The sequence below is a fragment of the Homo sapiens genome, chromosome 1, assembly GCF_000001405.40.
Source record: "Homo sapiens chromosome 1, GRCh38.p14 Primary Assembly".
Taxonomy (NCBI): domain Eukaryota; kingdom Metazoa; phylum Chordata; class Mammalia; order Primates; family Hominidae; genus Homo; species Homo sapiens.
In genome coordinates, this window is record NC_000001.11 from 58,287,610 (window position 1) to 58,315,210 (window position 27,601).

Genomic DNA, 27,601 nt, shown 5'->3' on the forward strand with positions numbered 1-27,601 from the left:
CTCAAGGGGCCTAATCAGGAGATGCAAGGCTTTGAATGACCTATCCTCAAAAGTCCCACTGTTTCACTTGTCATATTCTATTGGTCAAGCAAGTCACTAAAGTCAGCTGAGATTCAAAAGGAGTAGCAAAGTCCAGGCGTGGTGGCTCATGCCTGTAATCCCAACACTTCGGGAGGCTGAGGCAGGCAGATCATTTGAGGTCAGGAGTTCAAGACCAGCCTGACCAACATTGTGAAACCTTGTCTCTATTAAAAATACAAAAATTCACTGGGTGTGGTAATGCCCACCTGTAGTCCCAGCTGCTCAGGAGACTGAAGTGGGAGAATCCCTTGAATCTGGGAGGCAGAGGCTACAGTGAGCTGAGATCACACCACTGCACTCCAGCCTGGGTGACAGAGCAAGACTGCCTCAAAAAAAAAAAAAAAAAAAAAAAAAAGAAAAAAAAGAGCAGCAAAGAGTTTGCTTCCATGTTTAACATGCAACTTAAATATAGAGTCTTTTAATCATCTCTGAGGTCTCAACACCTCAAATAGTATACACAAAGAACAAATATTTGTTCATTTACATTTAAACTGACAAATTATATGGGATGGAGATTATGTCTGGAACAACTTTAATGGCCTCCACTTACTCTCTTGAAATCTCTTGGTATCTTTTACTCCAAATGACGTAAATGTGTTTTCCAAAAATACCTCTTCCTGCTTATCTGAAGTTTCTGTCTGGATCTCTTTATAAATCAGGAATACATCAGCACAATGGTATAATGAAATGGAAAATTTTCCAGTATGGCTGGAAAAGGTGCCCGGTAGCAATCTCAGCCTTCTGAAATTCTATCCCTTAGTCTCTATTAAAGTCTACAATTTAATAACAATGGCTTCCCTGAAGTGGGAAGAATCAGCTCTCAAAATACTCTTGTGCAGATAAAGATCTACTTCTTGAGCATTCTCCCAGCCATATGTACACAGTCATGTAATGTCAGCATGAAAGCAGATACCTCTACTGTTACTGTGAAAAGTTCGTCTTTTAGTATAGTGCCTGGTACATAATAAGTGAAAATAAATACTGCTATTATTTTAAGTTCATAAGCCCCTCCTTTGACCCTCTTCTCCTTATATTTTTGCTTCCCATTTAAAAGACCCATTGCAGTTACATTCTAGTGAAACAAATTAACTTGGAAACTTGAGACAAAGTAATCTTTGAGGCTTCTTTATTTGGCTTGCTTAGACTTTTATTGCTAAAGGGGAAATCTTTATGTGTGCTGGTCATATTTCTCTGCTCCTTCAATAATACACAGGCTTATGTAGCCTTAGTTCAGCACCAAATAACTTCATGCAAGAATACCCTGAACTGGCTCTGTCAGTCCCAGTCTGACACCACCCAGTAACTAATTTTAGTTTCCCTATCCACCCCCACTTAGACATAATAATGCTATGGTCTCTCTAGAGCTTTCTTTGTGTAGGCTGTCTCTAGGCTTTCTTCTCCTATCACGCATTTGCATTGAACAAACATTTCTGTAGCTTTTGCCATCCACTTTTTTACCCCTTTTTCTTTCCAACTACCAGTTTCTACCTTTCCAAGGTATTACCTTTTTTCTGTGCCTTGATTTGTAGAGAATTTTACACTTTTCACTGTACCTTTGCATCAATCTAGTGTATCCTCTTAGCATCTCTAATAAAGATAATATGATGGCTGTAACTATTCCCATTTTAAAGATGATTGACAAAAGGCTAAGAGAGGTGAAGTGACTTCCTCAAGATCATTTACATAGAACATTATCAGACCAGGAATGGAACCTCAATGTTTTGGTTTAGATTCCAGTCATTTTCCCCTCATTAAACTAAGTGATTTTTAGTGATGTCACTGAGAGTTCAATAACACATGATTTTAAAGTTTGAGGGAAACCATTAAAGTTTAGACTTTCATGGACTTGATATTAAAAGTGAATACTTAGCCCCACTGAACTATAAAAATGGACTTAAACTTCTAGATCAATTTGAAAGGCAATTAATTTTCCTAAAATAAGAGAAGCTCTTCTTCCCAGTGAATATTAAATAGGAGTCTTGTGATGATTTAGAATTTGCTACGGATTCTTACATGCTGGAATCATGATGACTTTGTAGTTAATTCATGGAGGCAGATACCCTCTCCCCTCTGGATCTTATTCATGGCTTGTGTGAATTATCTGATTTGGAGAGAATCTATGCTAAAAGCAATGACAAATCACATTGATATAAATCCATCCTACCCAAAAGATGGCCCACAGCAAACCAAAGAATACCTACAAGTATTTGGCATTAGCAAATAAAGATATTCTCACTTGTATCCAGCACAAAAGCTTTCCAACAAGCTGGAGACAGTACATTATGGAAAGAGAGCCCTGGACTTGGAATAAGAAAGAAACTCATATGTTTTAAGCTCCTATCATGTTCAGTTAAAAACCACAAATATTGAGCACTGACTTGGCGACATGTATTGTGCTAGAGATAATGGCATAGGACCCCTTCTTTCAAAGAGCCTGCAGTTCAATAAGTCAGAGACACCAAGATATTCATGATCATGTACTGGGTGTCTTGACAGAGAGGAATGTAAAGTTAATGGCATAGAGTGGCATAAGAGCACCTGGAAGGACACCAAATCCACATTGAGGGGATCAGGGAAGAGCAAACTAGGCTTTCTAAAGATGTCAGTTGATCTGAATTGTGAGCAAGGTGTGGGTATTGGAATGTCAGAGAAGGATTTGTAAGGGCATCATAGACAGAATGAACAGTATGAGCAAGTCATAAAGCAGCATGATATGGGAAGAGGGGACTGTAAATTTTTTCATATTATTAAAGCACAACATGTCAGGCAGGAAGCAGCAGAAGGTAAAGGTAGAGAAGTAGACATGAGGCATGCAGTGCACTAAGGACTTTACACACATTATCTAATCTATATGTCACAGTAGTTGTAAAAAAAAATTGGTATTTCTCCATTTCACAGATGATTAAAACGAAGGCCAAGGAGAGCAAATAATTTTCTTAGCTCGTCTCTGAAGCTCTGAATATGTCTCCAGAAAAGCTGTATTCTGGTCTCACAAGAAATGTACATCATCCTTAGGGAGATCATTATTCATTTCTGGGTCTCTAATCCATTTTTGTTGAAATAAAGGGGACTGGACAGGATGCTTTCTCAAGCCACTGCCTGCTGCTGCAAGTTAGGATCCTCCAGGCTCTCCTGGCTGCCACTGCAGAGTTAGAACCACGTGCTTGTTTTCAGTACCATGGAGAGGTGCCGCATTGCTGAGAGCTGCAGACCCGAGGGTCAGCCAATGTAGAGAAAACCAGGAGATCCACAAATCTTCCTTTAAACAAGACACCAACAAAGACAGAAGGGCATAAAGGAGAGGGAATATCATGAGAGGAGAGAGAAAGAGAAATTGTCCATCACCACTGCTCTCTTGAACAGAAGCTGAGTGATATGCTGAGTGAGACAAAGTGAACTAAATAAAAGGAATAAATTGAAGTAGCAACATGTCCTCGACATCGTAATACAGATGCTGTAATCATACAAGGCTAATAGTCTGAGTCACTCCACAGCCATCAAAAACAAAGAATTGATGGGACAAGCCTTGCGGCTGCTCATAAAAACCAATAAATTAAACTTGCTGACCATGGCCTGGAGACAGGGGGAGGCAATAAAATTATGTAACTGGTGGTTTATTTCCTGAATAACACAGCCTTCTCTTCTCTTTCTCTTTCTCACCTTCAAGACAGGTGCTCCATGGCCTCATGTTTCTTCCTTCCACAATCAAAACTTCCTCTCCAGGAAGGCTCCACTACTTGATTTATACTAAAGTGTAAGTGGCTGCTAAAACATAAAGAGTTGTCTCTCACAGGAAAGTCAGAAGTTTAGGGGTTGATTCACTATAAATTAAGCTCAATGAGAACAGAGAAATTTTCTCTCTTGTTCACAGGACCTACAATGGTGTCTAACACAAAATATGTGATCAATAACAACAGCAGCAATAATATTTACTAACACTTACTGAATGTTTACTATGTGGCAAGTGCTTCTTTGTGTCCTTTTAATGCTCATAGGAGCAGAATGAGGTAAACGGTATTATTGTCCCAGTTTTCATTGTGGGAACCTGGCGGGGGGAGACATAGAGACGTTAACTTCCTAAGGTCACATAGCTAGAAAATGCAAGACTCGAAGCCACAAAAATCTAAATCCAAAACCCATGTTCTTAACTGTGATGGTTAATTGTATGTATCAACCTGACTGTACCACAGAGTACCCAGCTTAAAAATTATTTCTGTGTGTGTCTCTGAAGATGTTTCTGGATGAGATTATCATCTGGATTGATGGACCCAGTAAAACAGATTGCCCTCTCCAATACAGGTGAGCATCATTCAATCCATTGAGGCCTTGAACAGAACAAAAGGCAGAGGAAGGAGGAATTTGTCCCCTTTTTTTCTGACTCAGTGCTTGATTGGGGAAATTTTGCCTCATTTTTTACCACCTTCAGACTGGGGTTTATACCATCTGCTCCTCTGATCCTTAGGCCTTCAGACTCAGGCTGAATTATATCCCCAGCTATCCTGGGTCTCCAGCTTGCAGATGGCAGATCATGGGATTTCTCAGCTTCCGTAATTGTGTGCTCTGGAGAAACCTCATCATTGACCATTGTACCACACTGATGAGAGGAAAAGATGGAGAGATGCACAGAGAAAATCAGAAAGAGACAGTTATGCACACACCATATCAAGAAAAAAAGTATCATCAAAACTGTTAAAATATTATTAGAGCCTATGCTGTCATACTATGAGGATTAAGGATGAAAAATAATAATAATTCTTCAATTCCATTCAATACATAGGCACTAGGCTGATCACTGATAATACAGAAATAAAAAGAGAACCTGTCTTCAATGTGTTCATATCTAGTGAGGAGCAGGGACAAGTAAAAGACCAGATGGTGTGGTGTGTGTTTAGATAGAAGTGAGTGTGTTAGTGCTGGTGCTATGGAAATTCAGAGAGCAGGTGCATTTTCAGGGTTAAGGGTTGGAGTGTTGCAAATAATATGTGCTCTCTGCATAGACCCCAGAAACCCCATGGCTGAGAAGTTGATTGGGTACTCAGACCAAAAGGTGGAGAAAGTCCCCAGAGATACATGCAAAGATTGGTGGACCATGTTGAAATATTGGAGATCCTGTAGTCTAATATAACACATTCTGTAATCTTTAGACTTAACAAGTATTCTGAGCATTTAATAGGAGTCAGTCTCTGTGCTTGGCACTTGGAATGTAAAAATGAGCAAGTTGATGTTTTCCTGCCTTCACCGAGATCACATTCTAAAATTCTATGCTTGCGAATGGTGAAGTGGAGACCCACATGAGACCCAACTGAGGTGAAATTGAGGTAGAGTTTCCTCCCAAAGATTGCACAGTGAGGCAATGATAAAGCACAAACTCAGAGCCAAGGCTTGAGTCTGTTGCCACCTTACAAGAAATGCTCATTGAATAAATGAGCGAGTAGTGAACAAGGATGTATTGTGAAAGTTCTTTGGTAGGCAAAAGAAAAAAGTCACCTAGTTAGGTAGTTAGATGGAAGTCATGACTTGAGTCTAGCTCAACTATGCAGATATCTTCATGACATCCGCCAGCAGCCAGAGTAGCCTAGAAGGCCTAAGTCCGAAACCTTCTTCATCTTTGACATCAGCTCTCTCTCACTGCAGCTTCTCAGTAGTCCCCTGTATTCCCATGTATTGTGCATTTTGTTTCCATTTGTTTATTGTTTCTGCAAATGCTCAGCAGAGCCAAAAAATATCAAAATAAAAAATATACCTTCCTAGAGCAGCCTCAGAAAGCCCCAGGGGAGATGGCAGCAGTCATAAGAAGAGAAAATAACCCAGTAGAGTATAAATAAAGCCCGCACAGCAATGGAAAGGCTGAATTGCATCATCTTTTTCCTACTTACCACTGGAAACCACAGGAGAATCTGGCATGGGCAGGGTAACCTTTAGATGACCCAGCTACCAGCTGTACAGGCCAGCTCTCCAGCATGGAAGAGAGCACCCAGAGCCTGTGTCTGGTGCCCAAGAGGGTTGTTTGGAAACAACAAATTCAGCAAATTGGCCAACAGGCAGAAGCCATAAGCCCCTTCCTTTTGTTGAACTGTCTCATTTTCTTCCAAAGTGGTCAGTCTTAGAAAGACCCAAGACAAAACATCTCAGAAATGTCCCAATGTGAAGTAATAAATGGATATTTTGGTGAAATCTGCTTAGCACTCTTTAGAGCAGGACTGGCTCCTCAGTGAGATACTCTGAGAGTCCTCCTGAGCTCACAGTTATTTGGACTCTGACAGCACATTTTGATGACAGCAGAACCCATCATGTTGGTCTCTGGCCCTTTGTAACTGGTGGTTTATTTCCTGTTTCATTCAGCTTTCTCTTCTATTTCTCACTCATGGCTGGGTCCTTTAGTGTTTTCTATCTTGCCAGACACTACAATCTAGTTAAACCTAGTAGACTCAAGCAACCGACAGCTTCCTAATCTACCCAATTCCACCAATAGATAAATAATATCACTTTTCATCAGACAGGACTTTAATTTCATCAGACAGGACCTGATCATTTTTGACTATGAAAAAAATCTCCCAAATGCCTGAGGGAATTTGAATTTTTGGAAAAAATTACTTATTTATATAAATCCTATAGAAATTAATTCTTAAAATCTCCATTCATAGCATCTTCAGTAGCAAGTCGCTGAAGGGAAATTTTAATTCAACTCCTACATGCTTCTATTCCATTCAACTCAATTTAATTTGAGCTAAGAAATATTCATAGACAATTAATAAAAAAAAAGATTTTTAAAGGGAATAAAGAAACATTTGTTGAGCACCTACTATTTGCCAGATACTATGCACAGTCTTAAGGATATACAAATAAAGGAGACACGGCTCTGTCTTTGAGGAGCTTACCATCTAGTCTTTGCTAGATGTCACAGAAACATGTCATGGAAAACATAAATCCAATTTCATGGTAAATATATCATAATCATGATATAGGCTGCAATGGGAGCTTAGAAAAAAGAGGTTAATTACAGCCAGCACAGAGTGGGGAAGCCTTCTCTAAAGTGCATTATGAGCTGTGATGAATGGGACTTGGTAGCTGCACATAGGCAGAAGCACATCTAGGTAGAGGATGCAAAAATGCCAAAGCTAGCATGCGGGATTTACACTCTTCTAAGCAGCAAAATGGCATGCTTGGTCCAGAACGTGTGTGTGTGTGTGTGTGTGTGTGTGTGTGTGTGTGTTTGCAAGTGTGTTTGAGTGCATATGTGTGGTGAGTGGTGATGAGAAAGATTTAAGGCTGATAAGAGAGGATTCATGTTCACTTTTGGCTTTCTTAGTCATTAGCAAAGCACTTTATGGGGAACGCTGTATGCTCAGAGATTGTGGTCTTTGGAAAGCCTTTCCTGACCACATGTTGGTGGCTTAGGTGCCTCCTCTGAAGAGCTACAGTCTCCAAGATTTGGTATTGTGATTTTCTGTTGCTCCTGGTCTCCTCCTCCAAAATGTGAGCCACTTGAGGGCAATGACTATTTTATTCACAGAACTCCCATGCCAGCAAGGTTCCTGGCACATAGTAGGTACTTGGAAGAAATTTGCTGAATTAATGAGTTATATTTGCCTTTTGTGCCTTTGTCATAATTTCTCACACAAGTGAGAATTCTGAAGCCTGAGAGAGAAAATAATTGATTTCAGTCACGAGGCCAGCCATAGCAAAATTTATTTCTAGATGTCCTCGTTCCATGGGAGTGGAGGTGGCAGGGGAAAGCATTTTGTAACCCTCTCTGTCAATTCTAGATCTAGAGAGCCCACAATAGCTTTTGGAGTCACTGATCAAAATGTCCTCAACAGGGAGGCCTCTCCTGACCACCTCCTCTCCCCTCATTCTCTAGCTCAAGCCATATTTTTTCTATGTGACTTATATTACACACTTCATTTTTTTGTTTATCGCCTTTCTTCTTTGAAAGAAGAGTAGATGAGAGATTTTTTTGTTTGTTTTATTTATTGTTTTATGCCCAGTACAGAGGACATGCCTGGCCTCTGGTGGAGGCTCTATAGATGTGTGTTGAATGACTTAGAGATTAAACACTGGAACGCAAGGGGCAGAGGTGCTACAAATGGGAACATGGATATCAAAGGGGAGACAGTTGGCTGGGCGCAGTGGCTCATGCCTGTAATTCCAGCACTTTGGGAGGTCAAGGTGGGTGGATTACTTGAGGTCAGGGGGTCGAGACCAGCCTGGCCAACATGGTGAAATCCTGTCTTTATTAAAAATACAAAAAAATTATCCAGGCATGGTGGCACACCCGTATAGTCCCAGCTACTCAGGAAGCTGAAGCAGGAGAATCACTTGAACCCCAGAGGTGGAGGTTGGAGTGAGCCGAGATCATGCCACTGCAACTCCAGCCTGGGCAACAGAGCGAGACTCTGTCTCAAAAAAAAAAAAAAAGCAAGAAAGCGAGAAAGAAAAAAAAGAAAGAAAGGAAAGAAAGAAAAAAGAAAGAAAGAAAGAAAAAAGAAAGAAAGAGAAAGAAAGAGAAAGAAAGAAAGAAAGAAAGAAAGAAAGAAAGAAAGAAAGAAAGAAAGAAAGAAAGAAAGAAAGAAAAGTGAGGCAGTCAACAACTCCTTACTGAGTGTCCACAGTGGTATAGAGCCTTCTGGTAGATACTCAGACAAAGAGCAATGGTTGATTGTGGTCCCTCCCAAAGGACCCAGTAATATGATCCGCTGGCAAAGGCTATGCGCAGAAACATCAAACATCAAACAACAGGAGGTAGGCAGCTGCGGGTGGTTGGGGCAGGAGAGAGTATCAAGGACAGGTGAGAGGCAAAGTGCAGCTCATGCATGTTCCAAGACTCCAGTGGCACATCCTGCTGGAGGCTCATGCATATGTTGACTATGCTTTTATTTGTGCCATTCCCTTCACCCTTGTGCTCTTCCTCAGTCCTGATTAGACTGTGCTCAGGCCATCATTTTTCATGGGAAGCATTTCCTTCTAGCTCATTTCTTCTCTATGCCTCCATAGTACTGTGAACCCATATTTATCATAACAGTTGTTATGTTGGATTGTAGCCTTTAATGGAAGGCAGAATTGTTGTATGATTAAAAACCCAGGGTGGAGCAAGACTACCTGGGTTTGAATCCCAATCCACTTCCAGCTAGCTATGTTTACCTTGGGCAAATTATTAAACTCTCCATTATATCTTTCAAACAGAAATTTCAATTAGCACCTACTTCATAGGGTTGTCCAGAGAAGCATATTAATTAATTAAAATGTTTCAGATACTTCAGACTGTGCCTGACATATAGCAATATTCAGTAAAATGTTAGCTTCTAGAGAGTGCAGCCTACAATTCCAAAGCATCTTCTCTAGGTCAAGTGCTGTGCTGAGACACATTTATGTATGTCATCTCATTGTTCTTCTCAACAACCTTGCAAGGTAAGTAGTATTTAATCAATGTTTCCCTTGAAATGGAAGCTTAATAGGATTTTTAAATGGTAAGCATTCAAGCTTCTTTCACTTATATTTAAGTGAAATAGGGTTAATAATGTCTATTTTAGAGTTGTGAGAATTAAGTGAGAACGTGTATAATTAAGTAGAAGAAATAAAAGCTGAGATGAGTATTTTAAATGACCTGTAACTTGGTATTACTTGGATAGGTTGCTTCAAATTCAAGTGTACATAAGGCCCTATAGGTGTAATGATGAGTATAAATATCCCCTGCCCTCGAAGAGCCCATGGTCTAGTGGACTGTTGCAGTGGCTTGAAGGCAACGACTAGGTCTCATTCATCTCAGAACTCAACCCAACTACACAATGCCTGGTACAGAGTGAGTGCTCAATGGTGGGCTCTTGCACTGCTTCCTGACTGATTCCAAATGGCCCTTTCTCCACTTCTCCGCAGGTTCAGGAGACACAGGGAATAAAGGGAATGGGACAGACATATCTAGTGGATGGCCTCATATACACTCTGGATCAATGGTGATTATAATAAATGTTAAAATAGAAATCCTAGTAGAGTAATATAGAAGCATGGTGAAGAAGAAAGTAAATCTAATTGGTTAGATTAGAGAAGGCTTCCTGAAAAAGTAAGATCTGAACTGAGTCTTGAAGGATGGTTATAAATTCATGAGAAAGACATTTGTAAATATAGTAGAAGCAGGTTGAACAAAGTTTTAGGAGTGCCTGACTGTTGGGAAATCTTCAACTGCATTTGGACAAGGTGCTTGGAGAGAACACAGAGCTGAGAAAGAATGTGTCTATAGTGGGAGATTGGGAGAATGGCTCCCATCACTTGGGGCAGTTTCCTCCATTGTCAGATCAACCAGATGACCCTAAAAGCGCTTTCAAGTAAAGTATTATGATTAAAAAATATGATTAAAGAATATTATATATTGACAACATTTTAAATTATTGAAATGTGTTGAGGCTATCATTCACATCAGCATTCACTGGATACTTTGTATCTTTGCAATCTTTCTAAGACATTTCTAGTTGTGCTGCTCATTAGCAACTTCAACTTACTCAAATGGGTGCTATGAATACTATAAAACTAATATTGTTTCTCTTTTTTCCTGGCTAGAGAGCTTAAAGCCAAATTCATGGCCACTTGTAACAGGTGCACAGGATTACATGTTAAAGTTTGTTGACTGATTCCACCACTGTCTTTACTTTACTTTCTTTCTATTATTGTTCCTTTGCCCACCTTTGCTCATTTATCTCATCTTTTTACCTGTATTATTTGTATCTCTTGAAGACACTTCAAATCCTGTTGGAATAGGAATGAGATGGGGTATAAACAAATTATCAACACTATACTCTTTATTGTAGCCCAAGGCTTTCTGCAGAGTCACAACATGTACAGCCTGCAGAAGGAGCCTATGCCTCTCCAGCAGCTCTGTCATCACTCCCAGACTGGAGCTGCAGGTGCGGCAGACATTCTGTAGGTCTGGATGCAATTTGTCACTGCACACATGCTGGAGATGATAAGTTAGAAAGAGTGGGAAGAGTCCGAGGACTAGAACTGAGCCAAACAAATGCTCTGATGGGGGCATGGCCCAGGCCGAAGGCTGACTCTGAGACTGAGACAGGCCTGGAGGAGGCAAGATCAATGCCTTGCATCACTGTCTCCAGGAGGCTGCCCAGTCTAGAGTAGGCACCCCTTCTCTGGGCTCCCAGACCCTTCCAAATTTATCCTTCTTTGTAGCACCTCTAATTACTCTACTCTATGTAGAAGTATGTTACTACGTCTATTTACCAGTATAATTACTTCTCTCTTTTATGTATATAAGAGTCACTAGGAAACACGTAAAATGCAGAATCCCTTGTTCTATTCCAAAAAATTCTGATTTTATGTCTAAGGTGAGGAATCAGCATTTTCAACCAACAGCCCAAGTCATCTGAGGGCAGTCATTCACAGATCCTGGGAAATTCTGTCTGTATTGGACTACTGATAAAGGAACTTTTACCCTATCTCTAAATCTGTAGCACCCAGCAGAGGGTCTGGCTCAGAGTATCATACCTTATTTTACAGACGCTCAAACTAAGGCACAAGAGATTACATTACTTATCCAAAATTACCTGCCTAGAGATTGGAGAAGCCAGATTTAAAACTCAGATTTGACTGACTCCAAAGAGTATGTCCTTCCCACAGTCCTAAGCGAGGAGGTATGATGGTTTACTTCAGTGGTATCTAAGTAGGCTGTGCACTTTCAATGAGGTGTGCAAGATAATCAACTCAGATGTGGAAGGAACGTATTAGAACTTCTATTCACATTTATTTTAATACAGCATTTCTTAATTTTATTTTTGTATGTTTATGGCATACAAGCATAGGTGCAGAGGTGCATGTATGCAATGAATAAATGAATACACATAATGCATAAATAAACATACATATATGGGGTGATTCCTCAAAAACGCCTTACTGATAGGGGCACACAGTCAGAGCCTTTGACGACCACTGGTTTAGCTTTCTTTTATCTGTGATAGTGCCCACACCCATGCACCTTAAAGATGCTGTATGTGGAATGTAACACATCTTTCTGGGACTTCTCAGGAGCCAGAGCAAGAGACGAATGAGCAGAATTACTGCAGGAGGATTAAACACTTCTGCTCAGAGTATGTAGGGCCTGTGCATTTGTCTTCTTGCCTACCAAAGACTGATTGTGATGTACTGGGCTTGCTAGTACATACCTTCATCTGCCACATACCTAGGCCCTGTCCCTCCACATGCTTCCTGGAGGCAGAGGCAAGCAACTCTCTCCAGGGGAGAGTGGCACAAGCCCCTAGGCTCAAGGACAGGATAAAAGCCTTCCTGTCTCTCCCATGATTTCTACTTCATTTATGGCTTAGCTCCATGGAGTTGCTAAAAGAAAGGGTCACGTTTAGAAACCAAATTTACTGAGTAGACAAAGGTAGATTTAGGCAAAAACGTGAATGCTCTGATGACTCAGGATAATGTAGAAAACTGGGTAGTGGTGGGCTCTGCTTAGAAGAAAAAGGGGCTTCTGGGATATGTTTTTCAAGGGCCCTAGCACAGTGAAGAAATGTAGTTGTCAGAAATGAGCTTTTGGAAGGTACTGCTGCTTTAAGAAAACGCAAGGGCTGGGAGCAGTGGCTTATGCCTGTAATCCCAGCACTTTGGGAGGCTGAGACAGATGGATCACCTGAGGTCAGGAGTTTGAGATCAGCCTGGCCAACATGGTGAAACCCCGTCTCTACTGAAAATACAAAAAATTAGCCAGGCGTAGTGGCGGGTGCCTGTAATCCCAGCTACTCAGGAAGCTGACACAGGAGAATCGCTTGAACCTGGGAGGCAGAGGTTGCAGTGAGCTGAGATCACACTATTGCACTCCAGCCTGGGCAACAAAAGTGAAACTCTGAAAAGAAAGAAAGAAAGAAAGAAAGAAAGAAAGAAAGAAAGAAAGAAAGAAAGAAAGAAAGAAAGAAAGAGAGAGAGAGAGAGAGAGAGAGAGAGAGAGAGAGAGGAAGGAAGGAAGGAAGGAAGGAAGGAAGGAAGGAAGGAAGGAAGGAAGGAAGGAAGGAAGGAAGGAAGAGAAAACTGGCAAGGAGAGAAAGCAAGGAAGTAGGGCTTCCTTGGGGTCACTGAGATGGCAGAGGCAGAACCAATGCATACAGTTCTGCACATTGTGCTGTGTGCTGAGTGGGGGCAGTGAAAGGGCAGGAATGGGCTTAAATCCCGCCCACATGCACTCTGTTTGCCAAACTGAGGCCTTGGTGTGGACCTATGTTAGTGAAGAAGGGAGAGATTTTCCTCATTGTCTTCTCAGAGAAGGTCCTTTTTCTAATTGGTCCTGGAGATGGTGAGGTAGGGCTGTTTTTCTAATTTGCACAAAGGTGGAGTATAGGCTACTTAGTGGCCATGAATAGAGGGCCTCACCCTCCGTAATGTGACTCCACATCATGGTTCAAAAATGTTCAGGAAATCTACAAGTATAGCATGCTGGCAACCACTAGATCACCTGTGGAAGCCTGCAAAGGTGGAGTTTTGAGTTCTGATTGGCATATGCTAGGTTCAAGACTAACAGAAGAGCAGATATGTGGGGGTGGAGAGGGGGGGGTCATGAAATTAACTAAGTCAATAACTCACAGAAGTTCTGCGGAAAGCACTAAACCCACACCGACCGTAAAGCAGGTAGGTTTCAGCCAAGTTTATCTCAACCTCTGGGAGAATCCATGAGACTTCTGGATTACTATAGAGCAAACTTGTCCAATCCACAGCCCACGGGCCACATGCTGCCCATAACAGCTTTGAATGTAGCTCAACACAAATTCATAAACTTTCTTAGAACATTGTGAGATTATTTTGCGAATTTTTTTTTTAGCTCATCAGCTATCATTAGTGTTAGTCTATTTTATGTGTGGGCCAAGACAATTCTTCCAGTGCGGCCCAGGGAAGCCAAAAGATTGGACACCCCTGCTGTAGATGCATTGTTTTTCCCTCCTCTCAGTATCTTTAAGACCTTAATTGTCTGTTGATACAAAAGTTTAGAATGGAAAGAGCTCACACAAGGAAACTGAGGCCCGGAGGGATTACTATTCTTTTTGACTCTGGACCCAGATTGCCTTGAGTTCGAATTCTGACTCTGCCTTTTATTAGCTCTGTAACTTTGGACAAAAACGGTTAATCTTACTGTACCTCAGATCCTCATCTGTAAAATAAGAAAAATAAAAGCATCTACCCTATAGGGTTGTGGTAAGAATTCTGTGTATAAGCCTGTCACATAGTAAGCAATATGGAGATATTAGCTCTTATTAGTATTATTATTTTGCCTTCTATGATCTCACTTAATTCTCACCACCACCTTGGGAGCTAAGCAGGGAAGTCTGGCCTCCTCATTTTATAGTTCAGGAACCTGTAGCTTAATGATAGAGAAATTGTGGGGTGAGAGATGGGATCAGGGAATTTGGCTCCCCTGAAACTAAGGGACAGTTTTGAAATTGGTGTACACTTAGACCTTTGATGAGTACAGGTGACATTGAAAATGTCACAAAATTAATCTCTCCTCATTATAAACCATTGCACTAAGACACAGCAGTAGCAAGAAATGAACACATTCTCAGTATAGTCCAAGAAAATCCCTTTTCTCAAGAATGTTGCCTATATAAAGAATGGCCATTAAATGTCAATGAGGGACACTGGATGGTGTTTATGAGCCCTAACTGAGGCCCTGGTTCAGGAACTGGGGCCTTAAGAGAGAGAGAGAGAGGAGTAGAGGGTGGAGGGCAGCAAAGAAACAGAGGGGAAACCTGAGCTGAGCCTGACCCAGAAAACTGCTCATGCAATTTTTCTTTCCATGGGTGGAAAAAATCAATTACAGTGTAAAAATTCCAATACATATTTAAATTTCTCCTATGTGCCAGGCATTGTGCTAGTAACCTATATCAGGGGCTTCTAAGCCAGGCTTCCTGTGTTCATGTATGGACTCTGGACTCAGGCATTTTCTAGCTGTGTGGCTCCAAGAAAATTTCTTAACTTCTCTGAGTCTTCACTTTCTCATCTGTCAAGTGAGACTATAATAATAAAAGTACTTTATAGGGCTGCTGCATTTATTACATTTATATATGTAAAGTGCTTAGAATGAAAGTGACAAGAGTAAATAATCAATAAATATTATTATTGTTGCTATTTTCATTACTATTTTTTTAAATTACTGTTTTTATCTTCACCCTGTAGAGCTTTGGCATCACCCAGACCAGAATTCAAACTACTATTTAATATCTCACTAATTTCAGTTTTTTATGTGTTATGCCAAGTATGTTGTCTGTTTGCATCCAGATCTGTTCCCCACCTTTCCTCTATTCTGCTTTTATCACAGGGGGCTGGTCTCTGCAAACTATATTTTTAAGAATTCCTTACCAACTGGCTTTCAGCTGGACTCAGCCAACAAGAGGAAGACGCTGGAAATTGGAGGCAGGAAGAAGTGGCTCCCTCCTCCCAGGACTCCAGCTTTCATCTGATGCCTTCTACCTCTGTGATCCAACCTCCTTCCAAGCAGCCTCCATCCTGGGTTCCAGTTCCAGCTGGAAGGTCCCTGATCCTGGGCTCTGGGAGCACCATCTCCTCCTCCCTTCCTCAGCCCAGCCATAGAGCTGCTTCCTGCTGTTGCTAATCTTTGGGGAATCTCTGGGGTGCCTCAGTTGACCCCACTTGGTTTTTCAGTACTTCCAACATGTTTATCACCAGTTCAAGGGATTGAATTCCACCTACTGATGGTCCTTCCCAGACCCTGACTGATACAAGTTTAATATGGAGATGAACAGAACAGGTAAGAAAAACCAGGACTTATCCTAAAGAAAGTAGCAAAGAAAGAACTTGGGCTCTCCAGAAGCCAAAATAGGAGCCAAAGCATCATAGCTGAAATCCAAAAGATGATGTCCAAACCAGAGATGCGTGATATGACACCCATACAAGAAATGCATATGGAATCCTATGTCATTCCTTTATAAAGGGAAGTTGGTACTCAAATCTCAAGGCAGGACTGAGCCTCCAGGTGGAGATCAGGGGTTTAGCTTATAAGGAGAAGAGGAAACAAGGCAAGGTCTGAGCAAGAGATTACAGAAAGTTGGGTGTTAACCACATTTTGGCTAATAATTTAATTACACTGTAAATGTCATAGGAGAGCTCACAATTTAAATTCCCCTGTGGGGAATCTTTTTGTTCTGCAAATAATTACCCCCCTAATTTATTTGCTTATGTTTGGGTTTTCATATATTTGGTTTGTTTATTTATTTATTTATTTTTACCCAGGGACAATAGGGCCCAACTCAGCTGGGGATGAACAGTTGCTTTGAATTAAGCACTGTTTGGAATAAACCACAATCAGTTTAGTAAAATTTTGATTATATTAGCCTTGCAAATAGACTTGCCCAGGGTGAGTAGCAATGCATTCTGGATAAGTACGGGGAAAAATTCATGATTCCAGAGCATATAAGGGCGAGAAAGACCCTAGAGCAGTCAGGAATCATATCAAATATTTGATACTCAGGCACTGTTTAGAACATCTTGTCCAAATGCATGCCAAATGTAGCTTTGAAAGCCATCGTTTGTGTAATGGTAATTTCCACTCACTGGTCATGGTTTTACCTGCTGGGACCATGGGAAACAAATTTGCCCCCTAGATGTACTCTGTCTATTTTTAGGTATCTTTGCTCTTAAAACAAAAGTTCCTAATTTCTTCAGCCATTCCTCCTGTGACACTTCTTCTGAAGCAGAGGAATGGTAAATGAGCTACAGTATATACACTAGGTAGAATAATATGTAACCACTAAAATAATCGTTATGAAGTAGGAAGAGAAACTCGTAATGCTCAAAGACAAGAGCAGATTACAAAATTGGAAGGAGGCCATTTCCATATTGCTGAACACTTAGATCCAAATGTGCTTGTGCATTTTCTAATTGTAAAAATAATTTGGCAGCAGTACAGAACATTTATGATATGGAAAGAAGATCTCTAAGTTCGCAAATGACAGTGGCTGTCCATTGCTGCTCTACAGAAAAGCTGTATTAGAATCACCAGAAGCTTGCTAAAATTAGAGATCACAGGACCCCAGCTGACTTACAGAATCTCTGAGAGCCTGGAATCCCTTGTTTCTCACTGTTCCCTGGGGGATTCTGACGCAGCAGGACTGAGAGAACTGCCTATCACAATAACGATGATCATTTCTGTATTCCCTTCCACTCTCTTTTCACATGCATATGTTTATTCAATTATAAGGATAGCATTTACTCAATTTTGGACACAAATGTTTTTATACAACACTAAAAAAAACAGGTGTTCTTTTTTTAATTTTTAATTTTAATTTTAATTTTTTAGTGAGGAGGTCTTGCTATGCTGCCCAGGCTGGAGTGCATTGGCTATTCACAAGTGCAATCATAGCACACTACAGTCTTGAACTCCTGGGCTCAAGTAATCACAGGTGCAATTCACAGGCTATTCACAGGTGCAATTACAGCACACTACAGTCTTGAGCCCCTGGGTTCAAGTAATCCCCCTGCTTCAGCCTCCCAAGTAGCTGGGACTTCAGGTGTGGATAACTGTGCCCTGCAAAAAATAAGTGTTCTTTGAACTGAAATGTCTGCTGAACATAAAAATGTAGGAAAGTCAAGAGGAGAAAATATCTCCCAGAATCACAGCACCCTAACACAACCACTATTAACATTTTGAGATACAATTCTTGCCTGTTTTATAGGAGTCATTTTTATTTTGTTTATTTTTACTGGAATAAGTATGTTGCACATGCAGTACTAAAATCTGTATCTTTCACATTGTGGTAATATTGTTTTTTCTACACTATTACATACTCTTCATAAAATTTGGCCATTGACCTATTATTGTTAGTCATTATTCCAGTTACAAATAATTTTGTGACAAACATCTCTGTGTGTAAAGCATTTCATATTTGAGTATCTCCTTACAATGCATGCAAAGAAATAAAGTTATCAGATCAAAGCATATGAATATTTAAGACTTTCCTTTTTCAAAAAAGATCAAGTCATCATAATTACCAAAAAAGTTCTATCAAGTAGGTCAGCCCATTCCCCAAGCATCTCTGTTTCCGGAATATGTAATTCTAGATTACAAAACTAAACAGATTTTGCTAAAGGAAACATCTCAAAATCACCAATGTGCAAAGAATGCCTTGAACAGGCCACATGGAAAGCTCATTATAAGGCTGAATCTGAGTTGTCCTTGCAGTGGTGCTGTGGTGCTGACATGCAGGGGAAAGCTTCACAATGAGGGTCTTTCCACAGTTCCAGTGAACTCTCAGGCCTGGCAGGGCTGTGACAGGAGCACCCCCCCACCCCCCTCCACACACATTATAGTCCTCCTCCTATGAAGGGAAGAATCAGCCCTTCCAGGGCAGACACACATTGGTCAGGGTTCGCCTGTGTGGGTGATGAGGTGGGAAAAGAGGAGCTGTCTCCCTGACAGAAAGAGAGAAGAACCTCAAGTGAGCACTCATTATTGGAGATCTCAGATTCTCCTGGAGAAATAATGAGTGTCACTGGAGTTCTGTGGGTTCCTTAAGGAGCAAAACAAGCTAGGTTTGATTAGGCTAATTTGACAACAATAGTTCAGTGGGGAAGGAGGAAGGAGGAAAAGGAGAACTGGAAGGGGCAAGGTGAAATTTGGGGGAGGATATTGAAATGTAAGGAAATAATACATTTAAATATCTGACATTTAACAGTATGTTAAATTCACAGAGCATCTTTCCTTGTAAGAATTTGGTTGATAATCACAGGACGCTTTGAGTTGGTAGACAAATGCTGTCCAATTCCTGCGCTGTTTCCCCTCAGCTCACCTCTGCGACCACTTGCATCTATTAGTTTCAAAGATACTAATAGCTTCCCATCTCAAGTCTTTGCATCTCACCATTCCTCTGCCGCAGGGTTTCTCCAGCACCTAGTGGGGGTTGCTTGGCTGCAGAATTGGGAGGATGTTAACACCCCAGAGCCACCTCCACCCAATGGGGAATGAAGGTAAAAGGATCAATACCCCTGCTTCCAGCTCATCTCTAGAGACTGTTTGGAGGCATATTCTACATGGTTTCTTGTAGGATCTCCAGCAGAATCAGGCCCACCTTGTCTGCAGCAGCAGCCCATTATTAATGCCCACAGTATTGACCTGTCTCTCTCCCCTGTCTCACTTTTTTACATACTCCTCCCTTGTATTGTGTAAGACCACTTTCCAAATAAACTATGTAACTCAAGTCCTTGTCGAGGGACATAAATCCTACTTATGGGAGAACCAAACTAAGATAGCAGAAAATTTGTATGCCCATTTGGCAGATTAGAAGACTGAGTTTCAAAGAACTCCAATGACTTTCCCAAGGTAATTGGGTTGTCATGTGGCAACATCAGAACCAAAAGCTGACTCTTCAACTAGTGTTTTCTCTACTCTACAAGGAAGTCTATTTTACAAATCAAACAATAACGTTTTATTGACTCCCTATTAGGCACTATGTGGGGTACTAGGATCTCCAAGCCCAGTAAAAAAGAAAGAAAATTACTCACCATAAGGCAATGTCTTAAAAGTAGCAGTCATCTAGTTCTGTTCCATTAGTTACTATCAGCATTTATTTAGGGCCTACTGCATGCCAGGCAGTCTGTTAGACACTGAAAGCCTGAAGATGAGTGAAACTTGGCCCCTGCCCTTCAGAAGTTTAGAATCTAGTAGTGAAAACGGAGAGGTGAGAGAGGTCGACAGACATAGACACACTTTCCAATAAAAGGGATAACTGAGAAAACAGGCATAGAGTTATACAGAAACAGAGAGGACTGATATCTAACTCAGGCTGGGGGACTGGTGTCAGAATTTCTTGGAGGAGATTCATTCTTTCATGCATGCAACCAATATTCCCTGAGTTTCTACTAGATTCCAGGTGGCACGCCAGGAGCCTGGATTACACTGGTGAATCATCCAGCTGTAGTCCCTGTCTCAGGCCAGAGCTAAGTCTTGGAAGAAATGCCTGAAAGTTAGCCAGAAAGAGAGTGGGGAAAGGTCTTCCAGATGGAGGGAAGAAGCATATGCAGAGCCTGGGAAGCATCAGCAGCATTTTGGGGGTGAAGTGAGTGCTGTGGGGAGTGGGGGTGGAGGAGGGGAGGAATAGCATTGCTAGAGCATAAATACCCAGGAAAGGGGGCCAGGAAATGAGCTGCAGACTTGGCCAGGGACCACATCAGAGTAGAGCTTAAGCTAACAAAGTGCTATAGGAACATGAAGAAAGGAGGATGGATAATTCTTTGGGGACACAGGAGGCCATCACGGAGAGGTCCACAGAGGCAATGGCACTGGAGCGAGAGACCTTGAAGAACATGAGAAATTTACCCCCATGTAGAAGGAGAAAGGAGACTCTAGAAAAATTCAGCTTATTCTGCAGTGCAAATTCTGTTCACTGTGCATACAGAGTGACATTTCAGTGAATTTTCTTCCAGGAAACACATTGCTCCAGGGTGAGATTCAGGGCTGCCACATATAGTTGTGCAGAACCCAGTCCACATAGCTAAACACAGTGGCCTTCACATGTTTGGAGATTGCTGGGAAGGCCTGACCTCAAAAGGGATGCCCTCACATCCTTTTATCCAAGCATCTGAAAGCCTTCTCATTAGATATTTACTCCTTTGGATGAAGCTGCTTGCTCTTCAGTGAGTCACTTTAAATGCAAATATTCTGGCTTCCAGGGGATGAGTATGGGGTTGGGGGGAGTGATGTGGGCATGACACCTGACACCACAACCCTGCCTCAATGGATCAGAGGCCTAGAGCTAGGACACCCAATTTGTTCTCCGACATTCTCCTCTTTCCTCCTTCCACAGTGGAAGCACCTGTCCCTCCCCTACAGGCTTAAGTAAGTCCTCAGCTCCCAGAATGCATGTGAGTCTCAAGCAGAAAGGGTTTAAGTAGATGCACTTAGCATCCAGCCACTCTGAATGTCTTTAAGGATTCTCTCATTTAGATAACCAGGCTTTAGTTTGCTATACTTAGTCCTCAAATTACTCCTTGCTGGATTCAGCAACCTGCTAGCTAGCTTGGACCAATGTTGCTGCCACTTCGCTCTCCCTCTGTGCAGAAATCACTAGAACACTTGGCTGTGTTCCTTACCCGGTAAAAAACAGCCTCCTTTACTACCTAGAGCTGGACAAAGATCTACTTCCTGCAGTGAGACTCAGGCGCTCCCCATATTCCAAGGTCTACCTGGTCAAATCTCCAGAGAGAAAGATGACGTTTATTCCTTCATTTATTTCACAAGCTTTTATTGATCACCTAAATTGTGCGCAACCTCAAAGAGTAGCTGAAGGATCTTGTGGTCCAATGAGTGAATGAATAATTATGCAATATGAGATGAGAGAGACTGGAATTGAGCTGAAGAAGAAAGAAGAAGAAAAAAGCTTAGCCTTAGAGCCTCTTTGAGCACTGTTTTTCTTAGCTATAAAATGCGGATGATATTGTTTCTTTGTGAAGTATTGTGAGATTTGAGATAATCCTAAGGTAAAGCATGCAGCAGATATAAATGTTCCATACACAAACAATCTCATGGTTTTCCTAAGCTAGGATGAGATGCTGGACAGGCATAATGTGTCAAACAATGGATTATATTACAACATCACTTTCGGAGCCTCAAATGTTTGGTATTTAGCATATTACCCTTCCCATGGGCCGCTTGAATTTTAATAGAGCAACTCTTCTCAACTGTGCCACCACAAACACATTATAGGTATCCCCAGATACTTAACATCTCATTCCTGTAGGTCACTGGAAAGGATGAGGGTTCCAGACGGGTAGGGAATAAGCCTCACTTTGAACTCTTTCTTGGTTTTTATAAATGAGGAAACTAAAGCTCAAACAGACTCAGTAACTTGTCCCAGATACATAACCACAAAAAACTATGGCATATATTCAAATCCAGGTCTGCCAACTACAAGTCCACTGCCTTGTCTTTTTCCTTTGTTACCTTCCATCTTCTAGGCAGGTCCATGAGTGAATCTTGGAATGGGGTAAAGTGAAAATTACCCTGCAATGGCCTTCTTTCCCAATAATAATGAAGACCCTGAAATTGGCCCAGGAGTACTAATGACTGTATTAATAAATGCTCTAAGCATTTTCAGAGATCTGTGTGTGGATGGACAGGAGGAGACCTGGAACTGCTCAGAGAGGTAATATACTTAAAATTACCAGCTCAGCAAAAGTGGAGAAAGGGAAGCTCACACTGGAGACTAATAAAATAAGCAAGTTGTTGAACTGGCAGACAGCTGGAGGAATTTGAATCTTGATGATTCCTGGCCAGATCTTGCTTAATTATTTCCAATATCTTCATTTCAAAAATAATGTGCTTTTTCCCCCAGGACAATTTTGATCAAAGCAATTAGTCAAGTGACTACTTGGCTGATCACTATCAGTCTATTAAAATACACACATGCTCACACATACACACACATGCCCTAAAGAGAATATCACATGGGGCTGGGGTCAGGAGTTTAGCATACAATTTCTGATTCTTCCTTGGGCTTATCCTCTGACCTTGAGGAAAGACCTATGCCATCTCTGAACACCTATTTCTTCACATATAAGTTTTCTTCACATATAATATTTCTTCACATATAAAACAAAAAATATTTGTTTTAATTTAAATTGATACAGAAGAGTATTCGGAATAAAGCTGAAATGTAATGGAAGACATTCAAAAAGATTTTGAAGGAATTTCAACATTTGTGGTCCGCAGAGAACATTATAGGAGAGTATAATGTGTGTAGATTTTTCAATAAGCTGAGTTGTTTGTTGAAAACAAATTCAATTTAGAATTAAAAATTTGAATTTTAGGGCTTTGGCCTTCTCTTGATTCAACAATGCCTTTGCCTGTAGCTCCTTACAACAAATTGTATGCAATGTGTCATTTCCAGATGTCTCTACCCACACTTCTATGGCTGCCAGGTGTCCTGTGCACACAGACTGCCCAGTTGCTCAACCCTGAGTTTAGGCCCATGGGGACTCCGCTTATTGCAAATTAAGAGAGACTCAGGAGACACACTGGCACCTTGCCCACAGGTGTCATTTACCTGTGCTGGTCCTGACCAACAAGTTCAGTTTAGTAAGCTCAATCCTTACATATACCAATATTCACTCGTATAATCATTCCATGACCCCTTGCTGAGTCCTACTATGGATCAGGCATTAGGGGCAAGAGACAGAGGTCAGGTAAAAAGGTAACCTAGGCATCATTCCTGCCAGAGGTGCCCTTCATCTAGCAGAGATGACAGGTGAAAAACACTCCCTCTTTGACCTTAGTAAGACTCCTCTGAGCCCTCTCCCTGAGCAGTCCTCAACTTTGGATCTGTCTCTAGCTTACCGAGCCCAGTTTTAGCAAAGAATCCTGCTAAGTCAGTTTAGCAGGAATCTCCCAATTCTTCATATCTGATCAAGTTCCTCATCCCCCACCCTACATCTAAGTCCTTGGCCTGCCTTTAGCAAGAACTTGTTAAGCCAGTATCTTGATGTCTAATCAAGTTCCTCTTAGTAGTTTTCCAACCACTGACCCCCTCACTCTGTGCATGGGCTATAAATCTTCAGCTGTCTTTGCTTTATTCAAAGAAAGTCCCATTCTATCATGAAGTCTCTCTCCCCTAGTACAGTAGCTCAAATAAGATCTGCCTTGTTTTTAATAAGTGTATAGTGAATAATTTCTCTTTGACAACACTTATTTCCATTCCTTGGGCTCCTAATAAAAATAATACCAGCAGCTAACATTTTACTGAAGATTTGCTTGAGGCCAGGCACTGTGCTAAGAACTTTCCACACTGTGGCAGCTTTAGAGGTCTACCATTCCCAGGCAGTTCTAACCAAAGACTGAGCATGATGGGGATATAGGGCCTGGCCATTTCTACCCAGTGCAGAAATCCTGCCTTGGCAATCTCAGTTTCAGAGCTCCTGGTTGGCCTGGGTGTGACTTTTCAGAGGTAAACCAAGGTCTAGGGTACTTCCTACCCAACCCCCCTTTCTTCCTCTTCTCCTTCCATGGGTGCCAGACTGTATCATGGTCTGCAGTTTCTCCCTGATGACTCCTGCTCCCTGGCCCCTTTATCTTTCATAAGTGCTACCCCAGTAAGTCTCTTGCACTTCTAACTCTGTATTGACATCTGCTTCCTGCAGGGCCTGAACTGATAAATACATATTATATCTTTTAATCTTCACAACAACATTGGGGGGTGGGATGCTCTTATTACACCCATTTTATAGATAAAGAAATTGAAACACACAAAAGTTAGGCAGTTGCTGCATAGTTGATGGCAAAGCAGGGATTCAAACCCAGGTATGGCTTTCTGTAATAAGTGCATTAGCATCTAACCACTTCCATGACCAATGTGAGATAAAGGAAGCAAGAAAAAGCTGCCATCAGACACAAAGTTCCCTGTTGTCACTGGCTGAGAAAGCTGGTGAACTTGCAGATGAGGCCAAGGTGCTACCAAGCAAGCATAATCCCTGCTCGGTGTGTGGCTCTAAGAAAAGAAGACATCCTAAGAGAGCAGGGCGATGCAAAAGGCAGTTCTGATGTTCCCAAAGGGATGGATTCTAATAAATGAAGGGTATTTAAAGGAAAAATGCAGTTTTTCTTCATACATTCTAATAAACCCTGAATTTTAAAGGATATGTCAGAACAATTCGTCATGTAAATGTTTATCAGGCTGCTCCCATGAACCAGATACTAGGATGTGGCAATGAAAAAGACATGCACTGTCCTTTCCCTGTGGGAGCTTCCAAGGTTCACAAGACAGAATAGAAAAGCTTAGGAAGAACTGAGCTTAAGAACGGCCTTCCCTTTCACTGGCTATGAAATCTTGGGCTGATGTTTATCCTTTTGATGCATCCGAAACATTCTGGAACCTGTAAGAACTCGGTCAGAAATGGGAGGTTCAGAATATGCTAAAACTTATAAGTGTGAGAGTCAATGCAAAGGGTGTCATTTGCAACTTTCAGAATAAGAAGAGCCAGGAAGGGACAAGCTCAGTATGTGGAAATGAATAGCAAATGTTTAGAAGCTTGGTAGTTAAGAACATGGACTCTATTCTGGGACTAGCTGGGTTCAGATCCCAGCTGTACTCACTTACTAGTTGTGTGAACTCAGGCAAGTTACTTGACCTACCTGTTCTTGGTTTCCTCATTTTGCAAGATAGCGTTGGCAGTACTACCTAATGAATAGCATTATTATGAAGATTAAAAGAGTTCACAACTTAAAATAAAAGTTAAAAAAAAGAGTTCACAACTATATTGCACTTAGAACAGTGTCTGGCATACAGGAAGTGCAATGTTAAATATTAGCTATCTTTTTTATTTTAACCCTTGGGGCCTATTCTGATTGTGATCCCAGACCCCAGCATTACTACCTCCAAGTCATGACTCCAGTCTTCCCTGCTGTCCACTATGGATTCTTCCAATACTGTCTCTTTAAATTAGGCTGACCCACTCATAGTTTATGCAAATAGAACCCAGTAAGACAGAGCTTTGGACATAAGCCCTGGAGCTTCTGTATTACTCATGGACCCAGCAGAAAACAGATGGCACATTTAATTAGGATAACAGGACTATTTACAAAATTGTAGGGGGAAAATGTGGCACTTTGGGGCTAGTAGTAGGTGGGGCTCCTTGACATCTCTAGGTCTGAAGGGGCAAGAGGGAGGAGTGGTTACCAGAACCCAGCCCATGACAGGGACACAGACCTGTGGCTGACAGATGCAGACATCCCACAATGGCCTAAAGGGATGGCAGAGAACCAATCCTGTAACCTTCTTCTCCTCAACTCTCTCCCTCCAGTCTCCTGTCTCTCCCCACCATTGGCTGAATTCATCCAGAAGCCAGAGGATAAGACATTCATTTACTCCCAGTGTTTCTTTGCCTCTCCAGGGACAGAACAGGATGAAGAATAGAAAACAGTAGATCTGGAGTGGCTAACAAAAGTAACCCGGTGTGTCAGTTGGTTTAGGCTGCCATAACAAAATACCATACCCTGGGTGGCTTAAGCAGCCGACATTTATTTCTTACAATTCTGGAAGTTGGAAGTCCAAGATGTGTGTGCCAGTGGGATTGGTTCCTGGTTAGGGCCCTCTTCTTGGTTTACAGGTGGCCATCCTCTCATTGTATCTTCATGTGTGTGTGTGTGTGTGTGTGTGTGTGTGTGTGTGTGAGAGAGAGAGAGAGAGAGAGAGATAAAGGCACTAATGACCTACTCACCTCCATCCCAAGTCCTCACCTCCAAGAATCATCACATTGGAGATTAGGATTTTAACATATGAATTTGGTGGGTACCCAAGCATTCAGTCCACAGCACATAGCATGAATTCTAACCTAATATCATAATTTTTCTTTGCCTCAGTCTCCTTTCTTGAATTTTTATGGTTCCTGATTATCTGGTTATTGCTCAGTCCTGGACTTAATCTCACTCCATGGACCTGACTGAAGATTGGACCCTCTGGTTGTGTTTAGGGCAATATCTTTTAGATATGGGGGTCTGTTCTAACCTATCCCAGAAACCTTTGTCTCATGCCCATACAACAGGCCCCAGGACACACTCCAAGCAAGTCACAAGCCATGTTGTCTGGTCTGTTCTTGTTCTGATCTACCTGATTCCAAAAGCCTGATCCTGTTCTATGGCCTTGACAACTTCCTTCAGTCCTTTTTGGGTCCTTTCTGTTTATTCAGTTGGCCATGCATCTGGCTTTAGGTACTGGCCCCATCTAATTCCTGAAACTCTTTTGGATTCTCTGGTTTTTGCGCCCTCTTTTTATTTCAGGTGGAAGCTCCCCATGACCTTGATCCTCCCTCAAGATCTAGACTTGATATTTTGTACTTACGATTGAGTCGTATTTACTCACTCTCCCAGCAAGTGACGCCCCCATTGCCTCATCTCACTGGATCTTCATAATAATTGTAGGAGGTATGTGTTATTCTTGCTCCATTTTAGCAAACTGACTCTCAGTAAAGTGAAGTGATTTGCCAAATAACACACAGCTGGTGACTACTGGCACTAGGTTACCTTCTTTATATAGATTATCTCACCAAAATCTAAGCTCCATGACAACAGAGATTTTTTGTCTGTTTTGTTCACAACATTTTCTCCAATGTTTAAGAGTGTCTATCATAACAGGAGCTCAATAAATGTTTGTTGGATGAATGTTGAGTAAAGGATTTGATTTGATCCCTATCACATCTCCATAAGAGGTGGATTGCTATTTTTCTAATTTTATGGATGAGAAAACTTAGAAGGTTGAGAGTTTAAGTAATTTCCTCCAAACAATGAACATCCAGTGAGACTCTAATGCTACTAAGAATCCAAGCCCATGCTCTAAAATAGTGCTGCTCAAGGTGTGATTCAAGGACCAGAGCTAAACTGTGAATTATTTATTTATGGTTTCTAATAAGTTTAGAAATTGAGGGTGAGCTTTTAGAAATTCTTACAGCAATTTTACATCGCTCTATTTCCCAGCCTGTGACCAGTAGCCTTGTCTCATTGCACAGGATACTAACTAGTAAGGGTGCT

The 27,601-nt window shown here is 41.4% G+C and overlaps 1 protein-coding gene across 1 annotated transcript in view, besides 1 other annotated feature; it reads right to left on the reverse strand.

Annotated features, from left to right (window-relative positions):
- DAB1 (DAB adaptor protein 1) overlaps positions 1 to 27,601 on the reverse strand; it is a 1,551,949-nt gene that overhangs the window by 1,292,832 nt on the left and 231,516 nt on the right. The gene's annotated exons all lie outside the window — the stretch shown is intronic.
- Positions 3,155 to 3,355: a silencer, noted in NCBI's record as "peak251 fragment used in MPRA reporter construct". NCBI's record gives its function as "represses an SCP1 promoter by STARR-seq MPRAs in K562 erythroleukemia cells {active_cell/tissue: K562}" and the evidence as "EXISTENCE:reporter gene assay evidence [ECO:0000049][PMID:32103011]".